The 27,550-nt window shown below is 34.8% G+C and overlaps 1 protein-coding gene across 4 annotated transcripts in view; it reads right to left on the reverse strand.

Moving 5' to 3' along the window:
- LRP1B (LDL receptor related protein 1B) overlaps nt 1–27,550 on the reverse strand; it is a 1,899,594-nt gene that overhangs the window by 154,259 nt on the left and 1,717,785 nt on the right. For all 4 annotated transcript variants that reach the window (NM_018557.3, XM_017004341.2, XM_017004342.1 and 1 more), the window contains one exon: nt 212–328. In NM_018557.3, coding sequence (NP_061027.2) covers nt 212–328 — 117 coding nt within the window. The remainder of the gene's footprint in view (nt 1–211; nt 329–27,550) is intronic.

Genomic DNA, 27,550 nt, shown 5'->3' on the forward strand with positions numbered 1-27,550 from the left:
GTAACAAAATAACTCTTAGGATAAGCATTTCAATAATTCTACCATTTGAAATTCAGGTAGTCTGAATATTCTTGTCCAAATGTGAATATATGCATAAAAATGTGAGCCATAAGACAGGTTCAAATTTATACCTTAACAGAACTAAAAATTGCCATCCTGCTTATTGAATGGGCTGTCAAGCTCAAAACATTATTAGGCAAGAGTTACTTACTACAGTTTTCTTCATCTGAATTATCACTGCAGTCATTTTGGCTATCACACCGCCAGTGATCGGGAATACAGTTGTTGTTTTTACACTGGAATTCATGAGGTCCACAAGTCTTTTTATCTGTAATGGAAAGAACCAGAGTTTGCATTGTAGATTTCCATGAAGACATCCCTCACAACGTCCTCACTGCCATGCCAAATCCATGGCATATAATGTTTCCTTAATTCAGTTACTAAGAAGCATCCTTAGGAAAAATTGAAGGCAAGTGCTGAGGAAAATATATATTTTTTGTCTTGTTTTATGTTGTTACTGTTCATGCTTTCACCGCGAGCTAATCAGTAAGAAACCGATTGGACCATCCAAGCAAAGTCAACACAAATCAGTTTTTAAAAAATCAAAATTGGCCAGGCATGGTGGCTCACGCCTGTAATCCCAGCACTTCGGGAGGTTGTCCTTTCCTTTAGGACACTTCCTCTCTTATCCACCCTGTATTTCTTCTATGAAGCAACAAAATATATGGTTATTAATCATATTCTGTGGTTGTCATCTTGTCTTTCTCCCTAAGGAGCTCTTATTCGTAACTGATCTGTGATTAGTTGTTCTTTCTAAATCCTGTCCACTGCCCACTCATAAACTCATAGGTTATAATAATGCTTCACATGTGTACAGAGTTTGAACATTAATTATGTTCCATCTCACATGAACCTTTAAACAATTGCACTGAGTACCAGGAAAGTATTAACTAGCCTTTCACTTTACAGATGGTGAAATAAAAACTTTTGGAAATTTAGGAACTTAATAAATTTTCACTATTATTAAATGGCACAGCCAATATAAAGGAAGTGTGCTTCTACTCCTGATTTAGCGCTTTTTACAACAAATGTAACTTACATCTATATCAGCCAGAATCAGAATGCATGTAATAAGAATTTATTTAAAATTTAAATCATATGTATTTAAAGAGTAATATTGAACTATGTATAGCTAAAACAGGGCTCCATTAAACCTTAATGTGCATACATATAAGTCATTTGGGAATTTTGCTATAATGGAAATTGGGATTCAGTAGGTCTGGGTTTCTGATGAGCTGGCTGGCAATAATATTGCCTTTTGTCTATGAAGCACACTGAATAGCAAGGTTCTAAAGTATCAAAATTATGAATTAAATAACACTAAAATGATAAAATTATAAGCCTTAATACAATACACAATTTAGAACACATTTCCCTTTCGTGTACTTAGATCAACTCCTTATCAGCCATACTAGAGATGGATAGTGAAGTGCTTCCAGTCTCAGACTAGCAAAACAAATTAGCTAAAGGAGTGGGTAGGTTATTGGTGGTGGTTTTGTGCTTTACTTCGAAATGCAACTTACAGAATTCAGACTTAAATAACATTAAGAAAGCAAAAGTGACTTAGGTATACTTATGAAAATTAAATACTGAGCATCTATTGAGGATCCAGCCTCTTTGCTAAGCATTTTCATACACAGAATCATACCCAATCCTCACAATATTTTAAAGTATTGTTATATTTATTTAAACATATGAGGAAAATAACTCTCAAAACATTTAAATAATTTCTCCAATCTTACAAATATATTAAATGGAAAAGTAGGAATTTATATCCAGCTCCAGCAACATTTTATTAGAGAAATTCTTATGATAGATTTCAAATGCATTTTTCTATTTTTTTTTTTAAGTATTGCCTGAATTTCCCTTCCTCCTTTTCTTCCTGCCTGCTAATAATTATTCAGAATGTCAGGTGCAATGTTTTCTGCTTTATATTATGTCCACTTTGTCTGTGTTATATTTAACTTTAGGTTTAAAATTTGGCCTAAATTTTGCAGAATTTCTAATGTTACATTCTGCACACCTCAGTCAATCAGGAAATATGTTAGATTGAATGGCCACTGAAAATATGAGGTTTTGTACTGAACAATTTGGATGTCTATTTTATTTGCCAGTTATAATAAACTCTAAAAATACTGTTCCATGTGTAAACATTAGTCTTATTTACTCCTTGCATGTGTTGCTTGTACTTTCTTTTTTTTTTTTTTTTCCTGGAGATGGAGTCTTGCTCTATCCCACAGGCTGGAGTGCAGTGGCATGATCTTGGCTCACTGCAACCTCTGCTTCCTGAGTTCAAGTGATTCTCCTGCCTCAGCCTCCCGAGTAGCTGGGATTACAGGCATTCGCCACCATACCCGGCTAATTTTTGTATTTTTAGTAGAGACAGGGTTTCGCCATGTAGGCCAGGCTGGTCGTGAACTCCTGACCTCAGGTGATCCGCCAGTCTCAGCCTCCCAACGTGTTGGGATTACAGGCGTGAGCCACCATGCCTGGCCTGCTTGTACTATTTTTAAATCATGTCTTAAAATGTTAGGATATAAGAAAATAAGAAAGATCAGACTGGACCAGAAAAATAGCCCATGTAATCCAGTTTTATAGCACTGACTCTCAGCACAACAATTCTCCTTGACTGCCAAAGGTTAATATTTGGTAATGACAATCAATTTAATATGTTTTATATTTTTTTTTCTAAATCCATTTTGTATTTTTTCTATATTTAAACATTTGTATCATAGTTTGTGTTTAAAAATACCTGCACCTATTTCTTAACAAAAACAAGTTAGAGTTCATTGCTAAAATTTCCTTTTGGGGCATGAAGAAAGAGTAATGCAGGAAACATTAGCTGCCTTATGTAAAGTTATACAAATTTTATGTTTCCGAGTTATTTAACTTTTTGATCCATGAAATTACTTGTAAAAGTTACAAATACAAACGACATAGCATTGTTCTGCACTTCAAACCTCCCTTGAGGTGCACACACGCACACAAAGAGACACATTTTAGAGGGGGAACTGTATGAGTAAGGCCTAAAACATCAGTTCTCAAATTGGTTACACATTAAAATCACTTGGGGAACTTTAAAATATCTCTTTGCCCAAACCATATCCCATATCAAATCAATAAAATCAGACTCTCTGGGGTGGGATCCAACCATCAGTATTCATTGAAGCTAGTCTATGATTCCAATGAGAAACCAAAATTAAAAATCACTGGCTCAAAAAACTGATATAAAACAGAACATATATATTTCCATGTTATATTACCTCCAGAGTAATTAATATAAAACGCTCACAATATGTAATGTTTTACATTAATTTATACTGTTAAATAGCATTCATATATCTCATTATTCCCTTTTTCAAGTATTATAAGTATGGAGAAAACAAATATGGAACTTGCTTTCATTTTAAGCATATTATCACATAATATATGTGGTACTGGTAATAAATTTGATCCTCCCAGAAAGGTAATATGAGAGACCTTTAAATAGGAGAATTATATGTAGTATATAATGTAATATTATTGGTGTTTGTATATGGATGGGATATTTCTGAAAAGGGATTCAAAAATCTAGCACTAGGGATGCCTCTGGGAGCAAGACGTGGAGAAGTGAAATAAAAAACAACAGTGGGAATGGAATTTAAGTTTCTCTTTAGACCCAAAGGAATCTACTAACTACTACAAGTAATAAGTAAATTTAAGAAGGTAATAAAATATAGATCAATATATAAATTTAATTATATTTTTATATGTTAGCAATAAACAAAAATGAAACAAACTAACAATGGTATCAATGAAAAAAATGCCTATGAATAAATCTAGCAAAATTTATATATGATTTTTATACTGAAGACTATAAAACATTGCTGAGAAAAATTGAATAATGCCTAAGAAATGCAGATACATATCATGTTTATGGATTAGAAAACTGAAAATGTTGTTTAAAATGTTCATTTTTTCCAAAGTTTTATATATATATAGTTATATATATGTATATATAGTTTTATATATATATATATTCATATAATTGGTTTAATCACTGTCAAATTACAGCAAGATTTTCTTGAAGAAACAGATAAGATTGTTGTAAAATTACATGGAAAAGGCTGGGCGTGGTGGTGGCTCACACCAGTAATCCCAGCATTTTAGGAGGTTGAGGCTGGCAGATCATGAGGTAAGGAGTTCAAGACCAGCCTGGCCAACTGATTGAAACCCCATCTCTACTAAAAAACATGAAAATTAGCCAGGTGTGGTGGCATGTGCCTGCAGTCCCAGCTACTTGGGAAGCTGAGGCAGGAGAATCACTTGAGCCCAGGAGGCAGAGGTTGCAGTGAGCTGTGCCATGCTGTTGCACTCCAGCCTAGGTGACAAGAGTGAGACTCTATGTAAAAAACAAACAAACAGAAAAAAAAATGGAAATGCAAAGGTTGTAGAATAATCAAACATTTCTTGAAAAAGAAAAATTAAACTGGAGAATTTACAGTACTTGATTGTAAGACTTACTGTAAAGCTACAGTAATCAAGAGAATGTACTATTGGACAAAATGAATTAAAAAATAAGTAATGTACATATGGTCAATTGAGTTTCAATAAAGGCCTGTAGTCAATTTGATGAAGAAAGGCAAGTCTTTTAAAACAAATATTGCTAAAACAAGTGGTTACCTCTATAAAAAACATAAATCTCCATCCCATGCCATACATAAAAAAGCAATCTGAAAGTATAAACATAATGTAAAATTTCTAGAATATAGGAAAATACTCTTATAATGTTGGAAAAGACAAGGGTTACTTGGACAGGCATTGAAAAAAAGCATTCACAGTAAAATAAAAAAATGATAAATTAGACTTCAACACAATTAAAATGTTTTGGTCTTTAAAAGACACCATTAACCAACTGAATAGATGAGGGACATATCATTAAATAAAGAGATTTATCACATACATATCTTAGAAAGGAATTATCCAGAATATATAAAAATTCTTACACAGCCTACTCATTTGTTGGCAAAACACTTGAATAGAAACTTCACACACACACACACACACACACACACACACACACACAACATATTTGAGTAGCAAATTAAGGTTCTCAAAATCATTAGTCATCAAGCTAATGCAAATGAAAACTACAATGAGATAACACTACATATCTACTGGAATTACTCAAATCAAAAAGGCCATATCTAATTTTTATGAGAATATGGAAGACCTAGCCTCTCTTGCTGGTTTTCATAAAGGTAAACATATCTACCATGTGACTCAGCAATTTTTCTTGTAGGTATTCACCCAATAAAAATAAAAGTAAATATTTATAAAACTAATTTGTATGAGACATGTTATTGCTATAACCTTTCTGATTATGATAAGCAAACTTATCATAACTATTAACTACTAAAATCATTCAAATTGGAATATATTCATAACATTGAATATTACCCAAGAATAAAAAAACTAAATTCTTAACATACAATAAGTCAAAAATATTTTTGACAGCATTAAACAATATTTGACAGCATTATGCAAATGAAAAAGTCACAAGCAAAATAATGGCTACCATATCTATGTATATAAAATCCAAACACAAACAGAACCAATCCATGGTGATATAAGAATTAGTGGATGTGAAGAGGAGTGTTGGGAGAATTGACTGAAAGGAGCATCAGGGAAGTATCTGGGTAGAAGAAAAGTTTCTGTATCTTGTTTTGGGTGTCTGTCACACGTTGTATACTGTAGAAGAAACTCATCAAACGGAATAAGAGCTGTGTACTTCATTTTGTTTTAATTAAAATTACCTTGCTATTAGAATTGCAAGGAGTTTTTAAAAACCCAATTACACCATGATAAAATATTGTTCATTTAGTCCCTGAATACTTAGGTATTATCAGCATGGGAAGGTAGTATGAATTACAGAGAATTGCCTGTAAAACAAAACAAAACAAAAACAAACTTCCTTAGAGCCTCAGAATTTAAGCTCCAGAATTTGAATGCTTTATATTAATTAACTATAAGTCATAGCAAAAAAAAGTACATACAAAGTACATATATTATTTTCCTAGAGATTTATTTGACATTTGAGGCTACCATGTTTTTATTCTGTTTCATAATTAAAATGAAACAGAATTATTCTATTATTTATGCTCATCAATCATGCAAGTTTTAAAGTATTCTCAAGACTTTGCATGTATCCCAAAGTAATGGGAAACACACCATGGCTGGAGTGAGACTGTCTGGATTCAAGTTGCTACTTCCCTGTTTCAGCATGTAGCATTGGGCAAATGATTGAACTGCTCTGAGATTCAGTCTCTGAAATGGTAATAAAAGAGGGATATTTACACATGTGAAAGGAAAATAAATCTCAGGACCCTAAAATCACTAAGACAAGGGAAAAGTCAAGCTGAGAATTACATCAGGCAAACCTGTCTTTCTCTTTCATTTCATTCTTAAATAACACAGCTACAAAGTTTTTGTTTTTCTTTTACACTGCATACCTCCCTCACAATTTGCTCACAAGGAAATTCCTTGTGAACCTCAGGATATTTATCCTAAAACAGTTCCGCTGAATTTCAACCTGGCAATCTAAACGCTGAGTTTATCTTCACAGGTGCAGGGGACAGAAGATCATCCCTCTGTTCACCTGAGACAAATGCATATCTGATTGCTTTCTCTGCCCTATTGTTTATGTAAAAATGCAGATTCAATGACCTAGACTAAATTGTGTGATCAGTGCAAGGATTCAAAAGAATGCAACCTTTTTTTTTTTGGAGATGGGATCTTGCTCTGTCACCCAGGCTGGAGTGCAGTGACATGATCTCAGCCCACTGCAACCTCTACCTCCTGAATTCAAGCAATTCTCTTGCCTCAGCCTCCCAAGTAGCTGGGACTACAGGCATGTGCTACCACACCCGGCTAATTTTTGTACTTTTAGTAGAGACCAGTGCTTTCCTATATAGCCTAACTATAATACATGTGATTCAGAATATAGGATATAAATTGTCTAAAGATGCATCTTCTTCAAGAGTGCCAAAGGTTTTATTTTAATCTGTGAATTTAAGGATGTTTTCATGCTTTCATGTTTTCTGTACCACTTTTTATCTCCTCCTGAAAACATTCTAAATAAACATACACCACAAAGTTTTTCCACTAATATCTAACAATTAAAATGTTATATGTAGGCCTTTCATATATAACTTTTTTTTTTTTTCAGAGACAGTATTCTGCTCTGTCACCCAGGCTGGAATGCAGTGGTGCAATCATAGCTCACTGCAACCTCGACCTCCTGGACTCAAGTGATCCTCCCACCTCAGCTTCCCAAGTAGCCTGGACTACGCACACACCACCAAGCCTGGCTAATTTGTTTTCTTTTATTTTTTGTAGAGATGGAGTCTAAGTTTCCCATTCTACATTTTTTTTTTTTTTAGCTTTGTGGCAGAGGTCAAGATAAATACATTACATTATTGGGGAAACACTGTCAGTTCTTCAATGAATATGTGAAATAAAGCCTGTTGTGTATATATGTAATTTTTTGTTTATTAAATATGTCACAAAATAATGAACCAGTAGCTACCTAAACAAATTGAAATTATATATTGTTTCACTATTGATTAATGTTTTAGTTGTTTAGAAAATGAAATACCACTTGTAAGTCAGCCATGTGTTTTATTCAGCTGACCAGAAAAATTGTTTCGTTCCTTTTTTTTTTAAGTTTGCTATTAGTTTGAAAATATAATGCATAAAACCATTTTAGAGTAAAATTAGGAAGAGGACTGTAATTTGGGGATTAAGAGATATTGGAAATACAAAGTTTTGTCCTTCTTGCTACTATTCTTTTGTAGTTACCATTTTCCATCTTCTATTTCAGGAAACATGATAATTACAAATAGTTGGGTAACAGGTAGTAATGTTGGTTACCAATAAATAAATAAATAAATAAATATAGTAATGGAAATAATGAGGTGAAAAGAACTATGGGAACAATGAAGTTAAGCTTCAATCATGGCAGCTCCTTTTTCCTTTGATTTCCAGATTATAACATTATGGAGTCACAAGGATGGAGTTAGAACTGGCAAACTTTCTTTTGTAGAAGACCTCATCTTCTCTTGGGAGGCAGATTAACCATCTCTTAACTATCAAAGCATGACCTTTTATAGAGAAGTCATTATTTTCTCTTTTTAAATCAACCTTATACAATTCTGTTCTCTCATTTTAAACACTCCTCAACGTCTCTTTTTACATTATAAGGAAACAAATAACTATACATGCTGTTTTGCAAATGTACTAAATCTCCTTGACTGATTACAAGTTCACCCAAAGTGGTAACAGATGTGAGGAGAACATATTCTCTGTCTCCTTTTCTGTAGCCCGTAGGGTTTACTGGCACATATTTTTTTTTTTTTTTTTTTTTGGTGCATACGCACTTAGTAAATATATAACATTCTTATTGTTTTAATCAGCTTTCATTTTTGTTTTGTTTTTTGAAACTACTGTTCTCATACCTGGTGAAGCCGTTAATTCTGGATTCCTACTTCCACTACCACAAGGGAGGACGGCCTGACCTAGGGTGGCGTACTGTCTACTGCCCTAGAGCACAGTTGGTCCATTGTAATTTACTGCTGAAATGTGATCAATCATTATGCTTTTACATTAGAGAGGCACTGAGGAGGCAGTACAGGGATTGTATGGTGGCCAGGTGATGTCCTCAGGAACTGACACTTCTATCTTTCTGCTCCACCATCCATGACTGCTAGAGCTCAAGACATAACTTTGCAGGCCAGAGGAAAAGGGACAGAAGGGCAAAGGAAGAAGCCCTTCCATGTTGAGAAAACTACCCTTGAACCATTTTCTTGGAAGTCCCACATAACATTCTGCTTCTATCTCAGTGGTCAAAACTTAGTCACACGACAACACAAGAGAAGCTGGAAAATGTGATAACTTCTAGACAGCAATATGTCAAGCTAAGAGGTAAAGTTCTGTGTCTAAGGAGAAAGCAAAAGTAAACTGGTATAGAAACAGGCAATTAGAAGTTTCTGTCGATAACCTAGGAAGGTCAATGAAAGTTGTTTGAGGTCATGCCTATAGATTTTGAAAGAGATTATTTTTCTCCCATTGAGATTGTAAGTATCATAACCTCATATTTCTAGGGGCCATTTTAAGAACTGGTGTCTCAGAAGACACCAACAGAGTAAAGACATACTTATAAATGGAGAAAAAAATGAGATTGGTATCTAATGACTATACGTGAATACTTGGATACAAATTCTGCCCCACATCTACTCTATCCACTCCTTGTAATCAAGACTGAAATTCCATTTTACCACTAGTTTGTGTTGGATTTCTGTAATTTGCAGACAAATCCTGACTAATGGGAACACTTTGCAATTTTTATTGCTTAAAATATTACAGACTCCTAATAGTAATGTTGTTATCTGTATGTGCTACTTACATAATTCCCAGGCTATCTCATTGGTTTATAATTACCTGAGTAATGCAGTCATTTACTGCCAGAAGAGTCAGAATCAGTTTTATTTTAAAAAGGGATTCACAAACCCATGCTTCCACAGGAGCTGGTACAGCCACCTTTGTTTTAGCATAGTCTCTACATGACATATACTATTATAGCATTTAGTGATATTGATTATCTGGAAAGCTGCAGGTTAACCTACGTTGTAAAGTGTTTGGTGAATCTGAAAATTAATTTCATGTTACTTCTCATCCATCAGGGTAATATTCCTCAATGAGCACTTACAGGGACAACCTGTTCTTCTAGGGAAAGTGGACAGGTTATGTGGACGCACCAGCAGTTAAGAATAACAGTGCCAGCTGCAGCTTATCCCAGTGAGAGCCAACCACTTCTGTTTTGTTTCTGAATTGTTATTTTTCAAAACTTTTATGTTATTCTTCCAGATAGAGAAGAGAAAGTCTTATAAAGCAAAACAAATTGCCAATGACATATTTTCTTTATAAAGAGGTGAATCTATAATAAGCTAGCTTTGTAGAGGCTCCAATAATGACATTTTAAAAATTGCATGTCAATGCAATGTAATATTCAGTGGACATTTTTTGAATTCACATTATGCAGTTTCAGCAAGTGTCATATTACATTCTGTAATGCCATCTATCGCACTTGACTAGAATTTGTGATTTTTTTTTCTCATTTAGAAATTTGTGTTGTAACTTTATGGTTATGAAGTGAGTGGGGGGGAAGGGGAAAGTAGTTACACTCTCATCTTTTGCCAATGTACTCTAGGTCATGTTCAAAATGCCTGCTATTCCATTCATCGTTCTCTTTCCATCAGCCTGCAGTATTGACAAATTGTACAGTAATGTTGTACAAACAAATTTGCATTTGTGAACCACAAGTACAGAGGCATAACAGAAATCTCGATAACATAGAGGGATAGAGAGGTCTTCAGAGTCATCCTTGAGCCCCTGTTACAGATTCTGGTAGAATATTCTAGCAATTCCACTTAAGCTCCTTCAACCAGCTGAGAGACAAACAAAATAAGCCTCTTTTATTTTTCCTACTATTTATTCTATGTTTTATTTTAAAAGCAAAGTAAATACATTAAAAGTTGAATCTACTAAAATATCTTAAAATAGATATTTGATTATATTTGTCTAGCTTGTCTGATCCTGATCAGAACCACCATACAATTGCTCAATTCACTTTATATTTTTGGATGGAGAGATTCAGACTTTGATTTGGAGTGAGGCGATGAAGCAAGGTAGAAACAGCCCAAAAGTTAAAGGCGGAACTTGATTTGAATCCTAGTTCTGGCTCCAATTAACATATAACAGAGGGCGATTATTTATCTTCTTTGTGCCTCAGTTTACTCTACTAAAAACTGAAGGGAAATACATACAGCATGAAGTTAATATCTGGTAAAACAAATAGTAACTAGTAAGAGTTAAGTAATAGTAAACACTATTTAATAGCTAGTTAATAAATAGTATCTGAAAAATTAAAAGATGTGAATTGTACTGTCAACTTTATCATCAAGTTGTGTTAATTTTGGAGGAAGAACACAGGTATTTATTTCATTTTATTATTTTGTACTTCAATAGGTTTTGGGGAAACAGGTGGTGTTTGGTTACGAGTTAAGTGATTTAGCGGTGATTTCTGAGATTTTGGTTGTCAGCACTGATTTAGATCCTTTACATTCAGCACCTCATTGTTTTAAGTGAATAGATATTACTATAACTTTGTAAAGCATCCCATTCATTTTACAAGCAAATAACAAGTATTGGTGACTTGCTCAAGGTCACAGAGTATTAGAATCATAGAAGACACTGAAATGCTGTGGGGTACCAGATTCCCCATCTGAGATATATGGAAGATTAGAAGACCTCTAGAGTGTTTTAAACAAAAATATGCTTGATTTTATTATCTGTTTTTATTTTTAATTATCAAGCCTATAAAATTACTTTTTTAACATTTTTTCTAATCTCTATTTTTAAGTTCTGGGGTACACGTGCAGGATGTGCAGGTCTGTTGCACAGGTACACGTGTGCCATTGTGGTTTGCTGCACCTATCAACCCATCACCTAGGTATTAAGCCCAGCATGCATTAGCTATTTTTCCTAATGCTCCAATGCTCTCCCCTCCCCTCTCCCCAACTCCCAACAGGCTCCAGTGTGTGTTGTTCCCCTCCCTGTGTCCATGTGTTCATTTTACTTTGAATTAGACTTGTATTCCTTGGAAAGTGGCACTTATTTCCATTACATAAGTAACATATACTTTTTGGGAAATTTAACATGATGTAATATAGAAAAGTAGAAACAAATTGCCCATAGTCATACAACACAGGGGCAAGCTCCATGGCGTGTTTCTGACTATAAATAAAATTTTATATATTGCATATTTCACTAAAAATTATACACAAATATTTTTCTAGGTTATTAAAAATCCTGACAAGTGTCATTTCTATGGCTGTATAATATTTCTCTTGTAGATATACCTTAAACAATTATCTACAGCTTGTCATTTATAGGCTTGTGTTTTGTTTTTTCCAATTCGAATAAGAAAGATAATTAATATTTGAAATAAAATACTTTTTATCAACAGTTAAAGATGTGGATACCTGCTTCAAAAGATCGTTCTTTAGGGACATTCACCACATTTTTGTATTTGATAATATTTATATATTTATCTTGTTCTGTATACATTCTAATGATGCTTGCATAGGTGTTAAAATTCTTAGGTGCAATCTAATGTATTTGTTATTTACTTAGCAAAGATAAATATTCTTTCTGATTGACATCCTTGAAACTTTTCTCACGTAAGATGAAGCTTTAAACTTATCATTCATGTTTATTTGGAGTTTGTAATCATATCAATCAATAATTATGAATAGGAAGAACCATATTCTTTTCATAATGTGGAATAACTTATTTTGCCAACTTTATAACCACAGTTAGCAAATCTTTTTTTTGAGATTATAAAACCAAGGTGGAAAGTGAAGATAGAGGGGAATATAGAGAAAATTTTATCTAAATTATTATTTATCTACATACATATATTAGATAAACATTACTAAATAAAAACCCAAGGAAAGGGGAGATACTCATAAAATCAAGGAAAAAGGACACAGACACACACACATATCCAGTATGAATGTAGATACTTGTTTTATATGCATCCAAAGCATACTGCTAGTGATCTCTGGAACCACTCATACAACACCTGGACACAAACACACACAAACACATACACTGTGGAGAGGGCACTGTCAGATTCTCACAAAAATCAGATTTTCTGTTTTTTCTCTTTCTTTCTCTTTTGTTGTTGTTGTTGTTTTTGTTTTGAGAAAGGGTGTCTTCCTGTTACCCAGGCTGGAGTGCAATGGCATGACTATCACTCATTGTAGTCTCCAACTCCTAGACTCAGGCAATCTTCCTGTCTCAGTCTCCTGAATAGCAGGGACCATTGGCACACATCACTATGCCAAGCCAAGAATCAGAATTCTTATGTAATTATATTTGTCTTTGAACACGAAAACTGTATCTCTAATTGAATTCCAGGAAGAACAAATTCTGAAACTGAAGAAAAATTTTCCCATATTATTATTTGTTTCCCTATAGGTTCATCTCCTTGGAACAATGTGTCTAAATGTATAACTTGTGATGAATGGAATATTTTTGTTTCAGTATTGCAGGGAGTGTGGGAAGGCATTAGGGTCAGAATTACATTTTTTTAAAAATATGTTTTTCTTAAAAACTCCTCCAAATCATTTTTCCATCCAACATTCATTGGAAAGTGCATAATAAATTCAGTTGAGAATAATAAAATAAAAAATGTGCTAATGAGTCCGATTGAATAAACCATTCAAATACTTATCTTTCTTTTTCTTTAACATTTCTATTTGATCTTTTAGAATTGATCTAAAACTTAGTGCCTTATTACTTAAAAAGAGAAGACCAAGATACACACACACACACACACACACACACCACTTATTCAATGTGCCCTTAGATTTTCAGGATATTTGATATTTTTAAATTTTCTCATTAAAATACATTTACTTTTCGTGTATAGATTCCTGGAGAATTGCACTAAAATATACTTTTAACTTTCAAGTACTGCTAGTATCATCTGGCATCATTTTTTCTCTTATATCTTTTTTACACTGAATCATTTCAAATGTTACTCAAAATGTGTAAAGCATTTAATTATTTCTTTTGTTTTCCTATATAGATAAGGATGTTATAAAGTACAGTTTTATTTTCTTATATTTTCCTCCCTATGCCCCAAATATATTAGAGAGGCCACAGTTTATACAGCTTAAAATGCTTAGAAAAAAAAATATTGCTTATTGTCTGGAGTACAGGCTCTATGAAGAAAAGTACATTTTAGAAACACCATTGTCTGCTGGCTAATCTCTCTTTTTGGTAACCTACTTAAAGTATCTATTGTCAAATCATTTTTTATTTTCATTTGTAGAATCATTTCAACAGAGCAGATTACATAAGGTCAGGATAAGATCTAAGTACCCCAATGGCAGGCTGTAAAGACTTTATGGAAAAGCTAACAAAAGGAAGAGGAAACCATTGTGATAGATGATAATGATCAATAGTTAGAAGTCCTAAACTATGATCTAGTTATTTGGATACATTGTACATTGTAAGCTAGTTTCTTGGCCCTAACACACTTAGACAGTCTTTGGTATTCCCTTTTGTCAATTTTGTTTTTCCTTGAAAATAAATTTAATGCATTTTAAAATCCGATTTCAGTTGAATACAAAGCTTTGGTTGGTAATTTGTGGTTAGAGCAGAAGAACAACAACATCTTGAGATGTTGAGAGTCCCTTAGATGTAGAGATGGCCTTAGGTTCTTGAACACTCAAGTGATGAAGACTTTTTCTGGTGTATGGATCTGAAATATATGATGTCAGTGCCCCATCTACACTCCTTGATATTCACCATTTCTGTCCACACTAAGCAAATGGCTTTTAACAACAAGCACATGCAACTCTGCCTGAGCCCAATCTGGAAGTCCCCATCAGGCCATTAATCACTCCAAACCCTCTTCCAGAGCAGCCCTAAACCAACGACTGACAGTAGCTGATGAATACGTATTCCAGCCCTGTCTCTTGTTTTGGGTAATCCTGAGGATTCTACACTATCTCCCAGAGTTTCCTGGTAGGATGAATCTCGTTCCTGTAGCAACATACCTGATAATGTACCCTCTATTGGGTTTCTTCCTTTCCCTGGTTTACTTCCCCACTCCCCTATTAGTGGTTTCTGGAATTATCTCCAAAGTATACTTCTGTATTCATATCTTTGTGGGTATAGGTTCTAATTTTGGAAACTCCCAATTTGAGACAAGATTTATGCAATCATTTATTCAACAATCATGCATTGAAGGTGGCAGACTGGAAGCAGTGCTAGCATGTCTCTTCCACTTGGAAGGAGAGAATAACGTGTAGAGATTCACAGTGAGAACTTTTTTTCCAAAAAGCAACACAGGAACTTAATAGGAAAACCAAAAGAAACCACAGACCCTTTGAAAGAAGTGTCAGGCAGAAGCCTACATTGTGAGGCAGGTAAAAAAAACTCTTAAGTACCCAGAGTGTGAGATGGAAGAGACTGCCTCCAGGATACACATTCCCAATGGGGAACCTGAAATTCCATGTCACAGGGGAAGGCCTTAAACCTCCCAGAGCTGGAACTGATTTAGAGAGTGGTAAAAAAGATAAAAGTAAAAGCAGCAGTGGGAAGTGCCTTGGCGGTATTTCCAGTCTCAGTGTAAACTAAGGGAAGCCATTCCTTATTAGATCTCACAGGGAACTTCAAGAAAATCTGTTAACTATCTCAAGCAGTGGCCATGGGTTGAAAGAAGCTCCGAACTGAATTTGGTAATGTAACCTTGGGTGGGGATGAACTCTCTTGTCCAGAACTTGGTGGGGCTAGTGGGAAGTACACTGCAGGCATGAGTGCAGGAGCTGGGTGCCTGGCCTTGTGAGGCAGATGGGGAGTGACATGGTCTGAAAGCCTCTGTTGCTGTCTCTGCAGGGAAAGCTTATGGCCTGGGGCAAGTTTGGGTTCTCAGTGCAGGATACCTGAGACTTAGTCCAGTACTATTAGCAGAGCACTGTGGGAGTGAGAGCTGCCTTGCCAACTGCATGGAATCTGGGTGAGGCTTCCTGCTGCCTGCTATTCCCCATTCCTTGCGTGAACTCTTCTGTGTAGCCAAGTCAGTTGTGCTCTCCACTGGAACATTATTACCTCAGTGGCTTGAGAACTGCCCCCAACCCCCAAAAGGGCTGCAGCTTGCCCCACAAATGGAGAGTCAGAGTGCTGATCCACCTGAGATAGGCCCTGCCTGGCTATGCATCTCCACCTGCCCTGGTAGCTTAACACAAAGGACATAAACTTTTGGGAGCTCTATGGTCCTGCCTATCACCTGAGAAATGAGAATACCTCCCCTGGGCAACATAGAGCAAGCTCAAATCCCACTGCTACTACTGCATCAGGTGCTCTTTTGCAAGCACCACCTCCTGGCTGGAAGCCAACTGACATAGTCCCTCATAGTGTCTCTAGGTAGAATAACACTGTGACCAGGAAAGATAAAACCAGTGTGCAATCTCAGCTATCACCATTGCCTGCAACACCCTGGCTAACCAGGAGGTCCTGAGTCTGTCCATGTAACAAGTTCACTACTATTATAATCAGAATTTGAGAAAGACAGCACACTATCTGTAACTAAGGAAGCTCACAGAGTCTACATCAATCCCCTGCCACCCCTATCACAGCTTGTGCTGGTACCCACTGCTGAGCGACCTGAGGACAGGTCACATCACTGGATCCCCTGCAGACATTCCCCAGCACCAACCAGGAGTGTGGGAGTCTCACTGGATAGCTAAACCCAGAAAAGCAATAGCAATCGCTGTAGCCTGGCTCTCAGAAACTCCTACTCCCAGGGTAGGTGCGGAGAACCACATCAAGGGAACACCCCGTGGGACAAATGAACCCAGATGGCAGGCCTTGGGTTCCATATCTTTCTGCTGTTGGAAGTTTCTTGCAGCAGAGACAAAATTGCAGTGCTGGGATCATCAGGGAAAATCTGCAGCTTTACCCCAAAAGTCAGGAAGCCTTGAGGCTCATGAAGAGTCTTGGAGAAGGGATCTCTTTTCTTCCCTTGTCCACCACTGCAGACATGGCTGGGGCTTCTTCCATGAGAGCTTTGCATGGTTGCACCTGTAGACTGCCTTCACAGTGACTGCATCCCCACAGGAGGAGCACCGCACAGATTCAGGCTTGCATGAGAGGCAGACTCACAATTCCTCTCTACTTGGAATATCAACATTCCTACAGAGAAAAAGAGGTGCCTGTCTGATCTGAGTAGCTGGAACACTGGGACAGGAGTGAGTCTGGGAGGTGGATAGCTTTCCTGTTGGCCTGGCAGGGGAGCTTAGGTGGTCCCCACCCTTCCACCTGATAAGACCTCAGTGTGTCTAATTGAGAGCTACCCCAGCCACCCTCATAAAGGCTGGGACCTCTGACAACATTGGGTATTGCATTTATCTATCTGCTTTACCTACAACTAGTTTCTACCCAGGGATACCTCCTCTACTGTTCTGAAGCTGGAATCATCAACTTAGTAAATAAAATACTGAGGAAAAATTAAGTAAATGAGAAAGTGCATACCACAGGAGAAGGAGATAAGCTTCAAGAGACCTCTGCCATTACAACTCCTTAGGAGAGGGTGTACTTGCCCACACATCAAGTACATTGCTACTACAACCAGCATCTGAGGAAACCATCATACAAAGACTATATTCAAGGAACTCATACAGTCTTCACCCCTAAAAGCATCAGGAACCAAATTAGGCTATAATAAACTATAAACCTTAAAGTCATATACTTACGGGGAGAAAAGAAAGAAAAAAAATGGTCAAATCAAAAATAAATTTAAAAACCATTAGAAGAATTAGTTTACCCAAATGAGAAGAAACCAGAAAAGTAATTCTGATAACATGATAAAACAAGGTTCTCTAACACACGATCACACTAGTTCCCCAGCAATGGATCCAGAAAAAGATGAAATCATTGAAATACCAGATAAAGAATTCAGAAGGTTGTTTATTAAGCTACCCAAGGAAATGCCAGAGAAAGGTGAAAAATTACATGTTTTTTTAAATAGGATATGAATAAAAAATTTTCGAGAGAGATAGATGTCATGAATAATAACCAACCAGAACTTCTGGAAATGAAAGACACACTTAGGGAAATACAAAATAAAGTGACAAGTATCCCCAATAGACTAGAACTAGTAGAAGAAGGAACTTCAGAGCTTGAAGGCAAGGCTTTCAAATTAATCAAGTCAGACAAAGATAAAGAAAAAAGAATCAAAAGAAATGAACAAAGTCTCCAAGAATTATGGGGTTGTGTAAAATGACAAAAACCTATACATAATTGATGTTTCTGAGAGAAAAGAGAAGGCTAAAATTTGGAAAATTTATTTGAGGGAATAATTGAGGAGAATTTCCCTGGCCTTGCTAGAGATTTAGATATTCAAGTACAAGGAGTTCAAAGAACTCCTGGGAAATTTATTGCAAAAAGATTGTCACCAAGACACATAGTCATCAGGCTATCTAAAGTTAATATGAAGAAAACAATTTGAAGAGCTGTGAGATAAAAGCATCAGGTAGCATAAAGGAAAACCAGACTAACAGCAGACATCTCAGCAGAATGCTTACAAACTAGAAGAGATTTGGGACCTATCTTTAGCCTCTTTAAACAGAATAACTGTCAGCCAAGAATTTTGTACCCAGCAAAATAAAGTTTCATATAGAAAGGAAAAATAAAATCATTTTTAAACAAACAAATGCTTAGGGAATTTGCCACTACCAAGTCAGCACTACAAGAAATGCTAAAAAGAACTCTAAATCTTGAAACAAAAGCTGGATCTGTACCAAAATAGAACTTCTTTTTTTTTTTTTTTTTTTTTTTTGAGACAGAGTCTCGCTCTGTCTCCCAGGCTGGAGTGCAGTGGCGCTATCTCGGCTCGCTGCAATCTTTGCCTCCTGGGTTCACGCCATTCTCCTGCCTCAGCCTCCCGAGTAGCTGAGACTTCAGGTGCCCGCCACCACGCCCAGCTATCTTTGTATTTTTAGTAGAGACGGGGTTTCACCATGTTAGCCAGGATGGTCTCGATCTCCTGACCTCATGATCCGCCCACTTCGGCCTCCCAATGTGCTGGGATTGCAGGCATGAGCCACCGTGCCTGGCCAGTAGAACTTCTTAAAAGCATAATTCACAGGGTTTATAAAACAATAAGACAATAAAAAAGTATCTAGGTAATGACTGACATGATGAATAGATCAATACCTCACATATCAATATTAATGTTGAATGTAAATGGCCTAAATGCCCTACTTAAAAGATATAGAATGGAAGAATAGATTTTTAAAAATCACTAAACAAGTATCTGTTGTCTTCAAAAGACTCACCTAACACACAAGGATTCATATAAACTCAAGATAAGGGGTAAAAAACAATATTCCACACAAATGGAAACCAAAAGGGAGCAGGAGTAGTTATTCTTATATCAGATAAAACAGACTTAAACAAATACTAAAAATGAGAAAGTCAGCAAAGAAACAATGGACTTAAACTATCTCTAGAACACATTGACTTAACAGATTTCTACAAGACATGCTACCCAACAACTGGAGAATATACATTCTTCTCATCAGTACATGAAACATTCTCCAAGATAGATGATATGATAGGCTGCAAAACAAGTCTCAATGAATTTAAGAAAATGGAAATTATATAAAGTGTCTTATCAGACCACAGTAGAGTAAAACTAGAAATCAATTCCAAAAGGAACCCTCAAAACTATACAAATAAATTAAATAATCTGCTCCTGATCTAGGTTAACAATGAAATCAAGATGCAAATGAAAAAATTCTTTGAGATGAATGATAATAGTGACACAACTTATCAAAACCTCTAGGATATGGCAAAAGCAGTGCAAGGAGGAAAGTTCATAGCATTAAATGTGTACATCGGAAAGTCTGAAAGAGCACAAATTGACAACCTAATGTCACACCTCAAGGAACTAGAGAAACAGGCACTAACTAAACCCAAAGCCAGCAGAAGAAAAGAAATAACAAAAATCGGAGCAGAATTTAAGGAAATTGAAACAAAAATACAAAACATAAATGAAACAAAAAGCTGGTTCTTTGAAAAGATAAACAAAATTGAGAAATCATTAGGGAGATTAACCAAGAAAAGAAGAGAAAAGATCCAAATAAGCTCAATTAAAAATGAAAGTGGAAACATTACAACCAACACGAATAAATCATTTGAGACTATTATGAATACATTTATGCATAGAAACTAGAAAATCTAGAGGAAATGCATAAATTCCTGTAAACATACAATCCTCCTAGATTAAATCAGGAAGAAATAGAAACCCTGAACAGACCAATAACAAGCTGTGAGATTAAGTCAGTAATAAAATTGCCAACAGCAAAAAGCCCAGAACCAGATGGATTCACAGCTGAATTCTACCAGATATTCAAAGAAGAATTTGTACCAATCCTATGAAACTACACCAAAATATTGAGAAAGATAGAATCCTTCCTAAATCATTCTATGAAGCCAGTATCACCCTAATACCAAAACCAGGAAAGGACATAAAAATAAAACTACAGACCAAAATTTCTGGTGAACATAGAAGCAAAAATCCCCAACAAAATACCAGATAATCGAATCCAATAGCACATCAAAAAGATAATACATCATGAGCAAGTGTGTTACATCTCAGGGATGCAGCAATGATTTAACATATGCAAATCCGTTAATGTGATACTTCACATAAACAAAATTAAAAACAAAACCATATAATCATCTTAACTGATACAGAAATAAGCATTCAATAAAATCTAACATTGGTTTATGATAAAAACACTGAATAAACTAGTCATAGACGGAACTTATGTCAAAATAACCACAGCCATATATGTCAAACCCACAGCCACCATCATGTTGAATGGGGAAAAGTTGAAAGCATGACCCCCTGAGAACTGGAACAAGATAAGGATGTTCACTTTCACCACTTCTATTTGATATACTACTGAAAGTCCCAAGCCAGAGCAACCAGGGAAGAAAAAGAAATAAAGGACATCTAAATTAGAAAAGAGGAAGTCATACCAGTGCTCTTCACCAATGATATGATCAAATACCTAGAAAACCCTAAAGACCCCACCAAAAGGCTCCTAGGTCTAATAAACACATTCAGTAAAGCTTCAAGTTACAAAGTCAATGTACAGAAGTCACCAGCACTGCTATACAACAACAGTGACCCAGCTGAGAATCAAATCAAGAACCCAACCCTTTTAACAACAGCTGTAAAAAATAAAATACCTATGAATATACTTAATAAAGGAGGTGAAAAATCTCTACAAGGAAAACTATAAAACATTGTTGGAAGAAATCACTAATGACACAAAAATATGTAAACCCAGCCCATGTTCATGGATGGAAAGAATGAATGTTGTGAAAATGAACATACTCTCCAAAGCAATCTATAGATTTAATGCAATTCCTATCAAAATGCCATTATCATTTTTCACAAAACTAGAAAAAACAATCTTAAAAATCATATGGAACCAAAACAGAGCCTGAATAGCCAAAGCAATACTACGTAAAAAGAACAAATCTGGAGGCATTACAGTACCAGACTTCAAATCATATTGCAAGGCTATGATTACCAAAACAGCATGGTGCTGGTATAAAATCGGCACGTAGGCCAGTAGAACAGAACAAAGAATCCAAAAATAAAGCTGAATATTTATAGCCAACTGATCTTTGAGAGAGTATACAGAAACATAAACTGGGAAAAGTACATCCCATTCAATAAATGGTGCTGGGAAAACTGGCAAGCCACACATAGAAGAATGAAACTGGAACCCCTCTCTCACGTTATACAAAAATCAGTTCAAGAGGGATCAAAGACCTAAATCTAAAACATAAAACCATAAAAATTATAGAAGACAACATTGAAAAAACTATTCTGGACATTGGCCTAGGCAAAGAATTTATGACTAAGACCCCAAAAGCAAATGTGACAAATATAATAAATGGGATCTAATTAAACTAAAAAGCTTCTGCACAGCAAAATAAATAATCGGTAAACAGAAAACCATAGAATAAGAGACAATATTTGCAAACTCTGCATCCGACAAAGGAATAGTATCCAGAATGTACAAGGAACTCAAGCAAATCAGCAAGAAAAGGACAAATAATCCCATTAAAAAGTGGGCAAATGACATGGATAGACATTTCTCAAAATAAGATACACAAACAGCCAACAAACATATAAAAAATGCTCAACATTACTGATCATCAGGGAAATGTAAATTAAAACCACATTGAGATACCACCTCACTCCTATAAGAATGATCATAATTAAAAAGTCAAAAAATAGTACATGTTGCTGTGGATGTGGTGAAAAGAGAACACTTTTGTACTGCTGGTGGGAATGTAAATTAGTACAACCTCTTTGGAAAACGGTATGGAAATTCCTTAAAGAACTAAGAACAGATCTGCCATTTGAGCCAGCAGTCCTACTACTGGGTACCTATCCAAAAGAAAAGAAGTCATTATATGAAAAAGACACATGCACATGCATGTTTATGGCAGCACACTTCACCACTGCAAAAATATGGAACCAATCTATGTGTCCATCAATCAATGAGTGGATAAAAAAAATATGGCATATATATACCATGGAATACTACTCAGCCATAAAAAGGAATAAAATAATATATTTTGCAGCAACTTGGATGGAGCTGGAGGCCATTATTCTAAGTGAAGTAACTCAGTAATGGAAAATCAAATACAATATGTTCTCCCTTATAAGTGGAAGCTAAGCTATGAGGACACAAAGACATGCAGAATGATATAATGGACTTTGAGGATTTACAGGCGATGTGGGAGTGGGGTGAGGGATAAAAGGCTACATATAGGGTACAGTGTATATTGCTTGGGTGATGAGTGCACTAAAATCTTAGAATTCACCACTATAAAATTCATCCATTTAATCAAAAAACCACTACTATCCAAAAAGCTATTGAAATAAAAACTAATTTAAAAAAATTAAAATGGCATGCATTAGTGCCAATGCTGATCATGTACTAGGCGATCTTGTGAGCTCTGGGTTTTATAGCAATGAATGAAACAGACAAATTTCTGACTTTATTGAGCTTATATGTTAATAGCTAAGTGGGGATTCAGGAGACAAGGAATAATTTTTTTAAGTAATTTGTTGGAGGGTAAGAAGTGCTAAAAAGAGAAATGAAGTACTACAGAGAGAAAAGGATGGGGAATCCTATTATAAGGATTAAGATACTCAGAACACTATTTTAGAAGAGTGACCTCTTGAAGACTGAGGGATTGAGTTACACTACTATCTGAGGGAAAGGACACTCCAACAAATAATTCAAATAATTCAAAAACATGGTTGCCTTTGCCATAAAACCCTAAACCCTAAAGCTGCAACATGTCTACATCAGAGAAAAAAATGATATCTTTCTACTGAGTGTAATTTATACTCTGAGATAAATATGCTTATTTTGAGAAATAAGCAGGCATGGGAATGTTTAAGGAACAGTGTTGAGACCAGGGTAGCTGAGTAGAGTATGAACATATATTTAGCAAGAGTGGTGGGAAAGGTCAGAAAGATAGTCCTATGATAGAGGAGTAATCACATTAAGCAAGGCTCTGTTTATTCAGAACTTCTCTTGCTAGTTCTCTTCCTCTGAAAGGAGCATTTATATTTGAACTTTTGTTTTTTACTATGAATTTCACATGCTTATTTAGGTCTTTGTCAAATTAAAAATGGAGATTTGAAGGATTGCTAAAGGATTACAACATAGAGAAATCCAAATCTTGGAACTGCCATGATGAATTCATTGGCCTGTATATTCTGGGTAATTACCTTGTTCTCAGTTTTGGTGTAAACTGATAACTTTATAGGCATAACTTATAGATGTAAAACTTTATAGGTATAAACCTATAAAGTCGGTGATGTGATATCTACTGATAAAGTATGTGATAGGCAGTGAAAAAGCAAATTTATCTTTGAAAAAATATTGAAAAAGTATGTAAAATAAAATGCATCTAACGACAAGATATATTGACTGGAAGTAAATAATTTTTTTGACTAGATTTATTGATGAAAAGTAACAAGTTCGTCCACCATTTTAACCAGAATTGTGTTTTATTGTATTGGCATATTTTACTTCATTGTAGTTGATACAGAGAAATTTAGTCATCTAAAGAGATTCATAATTAAATATTGTTATAAGAAGTATTTTAGAATTGGTATTAATATTTTCAGATCCTAGCTAATTTTTTTTAGTTTAAATAAACATTAATAACAGCTAATATATATTGATTGTTTTCTCTATGCCAGATTCATGTAATCTTCTCAGCAATTCAATATGGAAAGTATATTGAACAACTGAGAACACTGAAGCCCAAGGTACCATAAATTACTTGTCCCAAAGCCCACAGCTCTTAAACTTCGGGACCAAGACTTGAATTCATGCCATCTGGTTCTAATATCTACATCATAAACCATTCTGAAACTGTAACATAAATAATTATCCCAAACAAAGCTTTGCACTTGCTTTCTTCTTTTATCATTTTACACTAAGACCTCAGTTTTATAGACTCTAAGAGATGACTAAAATTGTATACATGTCAAGAGTTGTGCCAGAGGTAATTCAAAAACATGGTTGCCTTCGCCATAAAACCCTAAAACTGCAACATATCTGCATCAGAGAAAAAAATGGTATCTCTCTACTGAGTGTAATTTACACTCTGAGATAAATACGGACAACATTGCAAAGCCCTCATGACAAGATTTGTTATTCCTGAGCTATATATTTTTTCATTATCTGACATATTTTAACCTTTGAAAAAAAATTATAGAATGTTAGTCTCCTTCTCCTTCTCTCTTTTTTTAATCAATCAGCACAGAACATGTCCCTTACTTGACTTACAGTTCAACTAGGTGTTACATATCAATAAATGATCACATTAGCCTTTATCTTATCATTTCCTCATTGGCTGCATAGTCAACAAAGTATTGATTTTTTTTTTTAGGATTCTGCTTACAGTACATGATTGTTCTCTTGGCTTTACTCCCAAATGTCTTTAAAAACCTTAATAGTGCACTTCTCTGTTAGATGTCTTTATTCACCTTTTAATAAGCCTGCTTGCCTCCTATAATAATGCTGCATCTGCTGTAGAATCATATTTATCAGAGAGACAGCACGCTATGAAAGAAGTCCAAAAAAACACTATGCTTGAGCTGAATTTAATATGAGAATTCAAATAAAGGTGCCAATAAAATTCTCATTTTAATACAACCATTAAACACATGCAGAAAGCAAAGTATCTCAATGGATAATATAAATCATCATTAAATCTGCATTAATTTAGCCTACTCAAATATTCCTTCAAGGTATAAATGCATTACTACAAACAGCAAAGAAACAGAATTATCCCTCATGTCATATCCTATTAGGTTTTAGAAAGAAAAGAATTGGTATTCTAAAACGTATATCCCATGACATGTCTTCATTGTCATCAGATTAATGTCCACAGTGAAAGCTGGTTGCAAGCATTGTCACAGGCCTGGGTTGAACCCTATGACAGCTAGCAAAGGGGGAGGTGAAAGGAAATTACTGAATGGGTGCCGGGGTTACCTCACTAGAGCCATATATCCCAAGTCACTAATACATGTACCACCTTCAGAAATTTGCTATTTTCCAGTGCCACCTGTATGGGTATTTATTTCTTCTTTTTCAATGCTAATTAATATACTGGTTAATTCAGCATTAGGGAGCCAAGTATTGTTTCACCAGAGATTTAGGCAATCTGTCTCTCTTGTACCTTGATAAAAACTATTTTGATATAATTAAGAAAACAACTTTATATAAGACTTCTACATCTGAATGAGAACATATTTTATTGAATTCATTATTTTAATATAAATTACTAATTTGAAATAGCTTTAGTTAACAGTATATTGAATATTTTAATTATGTATGCATTCTTTATATTATATAATTTCTCTGCTCTTAAATATTGAAACTATCTTGAGTGCTAAATGATCATTAAGATAATTTAAACAATTTAGATGGCAAATTTTCAAATATATATACTCCATTGGTATTGTTACATAAACTATATTCAAATTCTTGCTATTTGCAGATAATAAAGTTCCTATCTGGGGGAAAAAATCTCACAAATAATCTAATCCAAGTTTCTAAATTTAAGATTTAGAAATAGCCACAGAGACCTTATGTGACATGCCCAAGTCACACTGCTAGTTAGTTGGTGACAAAACCGCAATTAGGCAAAGGATTTCTGTTACTTATATGGAGAAATGATATTCACTGGATCCAGGCAGACTTCTTTCTGATTCTCTGTTTTCTCATCTATTAAATGAGGATAATAACAATAACAACCAAAATAATAATATCAATACCACCTAATTTAAAGGTTTTTCTAACATGTATGAGAAAGTACCTGGCACATTTTGGGGGCTCAGTTAACCTTAACTATCTTATTATCTCTTCCTGTTACCTCAGTTTCTGCTATTTAATCAATCCTGATAATAGCAAAGAAAGAATCCTGTAAATTAATTAAAAGCTATCAAGAAACTTCTCAGGTATCAGAATTTCACAAATCTTTTACAATTTCTGTTATTGGCTTTTGGTCATCCTTAATTATCCTTAGTAACCAAATTCTTAACCTCCTTTGGTCCACATCTTTAGCTAAAGCATTCCTTCACTATGTCACTTTCACCAAGTATCAAAGACTGATGACAAAACCAAAGAATAGACTCAAAAAAGAAGCAAATATATCAATTAGGTTACTCTACAAAGGTTCATACTGTCTTAACTAGGAATGACTGTTACTGGAAACTCTTACAAAATTCAACAAATGAATTTCAACTCTAGACATTTCTCAATGGTTTCTTCAGTTTACAAGAATAATTTCATTGGTAATAATAAACGTCTGAGATAGTTGACAATTTTCTAGCCTTAAGATGGCTTTGTACAGAACCATTTGGGTACTCCCAAATCAACTTTTGCTCATCAGAGAAGAGGAAAATAGAAATACTTTCTTAAATGGACTAGATATATTATATTGTGGAAAATATGTATGCAAATGCAGGTAAATATATCAAATTTAATCTAAATATGTCAAATGAAAACAGAATATTTATCTCCCTAATTCTAAGTAAGCGTGAGTGCTCTATTGACTCACAGCCATCAGAGAATAGATTGTATTCAGGAAGGGAAAAGGAAATTTTACTTATAAAGTACCCACTATGTGTCAGATCTAATGTAAATCATTTTGAGAACGTAATTGTACATAATTCTCTCAACAACTCTATGATAAATATGATTTCTTTTTACATCTAATAAAACTGAGGCTTATGGAGGTTCATACACACTTAATATTACATAATCAGTAAATCATGATGTCAAAATGTTTGCCGTTTTTTACATTCTATCATACCATTAATATGGTATCTACGTATTTATTCACATAAGTATACTGAAGATTTCTTGCCATTTTAGGTTGTGTCAACTTAACTAGATAAATTTCAAAAAATTCATGAACTATGTTTATGATATAAAACAATGGCAGAATCTCTAACATCTTGAAAATATGTTTTGTACCTAACATTCCAACAGAGTATAAGCATTTAACAGAATACTGGGAAGTGTAAGGGTTTTTTAAGAAAACACTCTATAATCTACAAAATATCGTAATAAAAATGGGTTTTAAAAGACACCCTAAATATATTATTGGTATAAAGTATAAAAGTAGTAGATATAATAGTAGTAGACTGGTTCCACTATTTTAGCTTTAAAGAAAGATAAATGTAATACACACACAAACACACATACACAATTCTATCACATTGGACCTAAAATATTGGATTGCTATCCTC

The sequence above is a fragment of the Homo sapiens genome, chromosome 2 (genome assembly GCF_000001405.40).
Source record: "Homo sapiens chromosome 2, GRCh38.p14 Primary Assembly".
Taxonomy (NCBI): domain Eukaryota; kingdom Metazoa; phylum Chordata; class Mammalia; order Primates; family Hominidae; genus Homo; species Homo sapiens.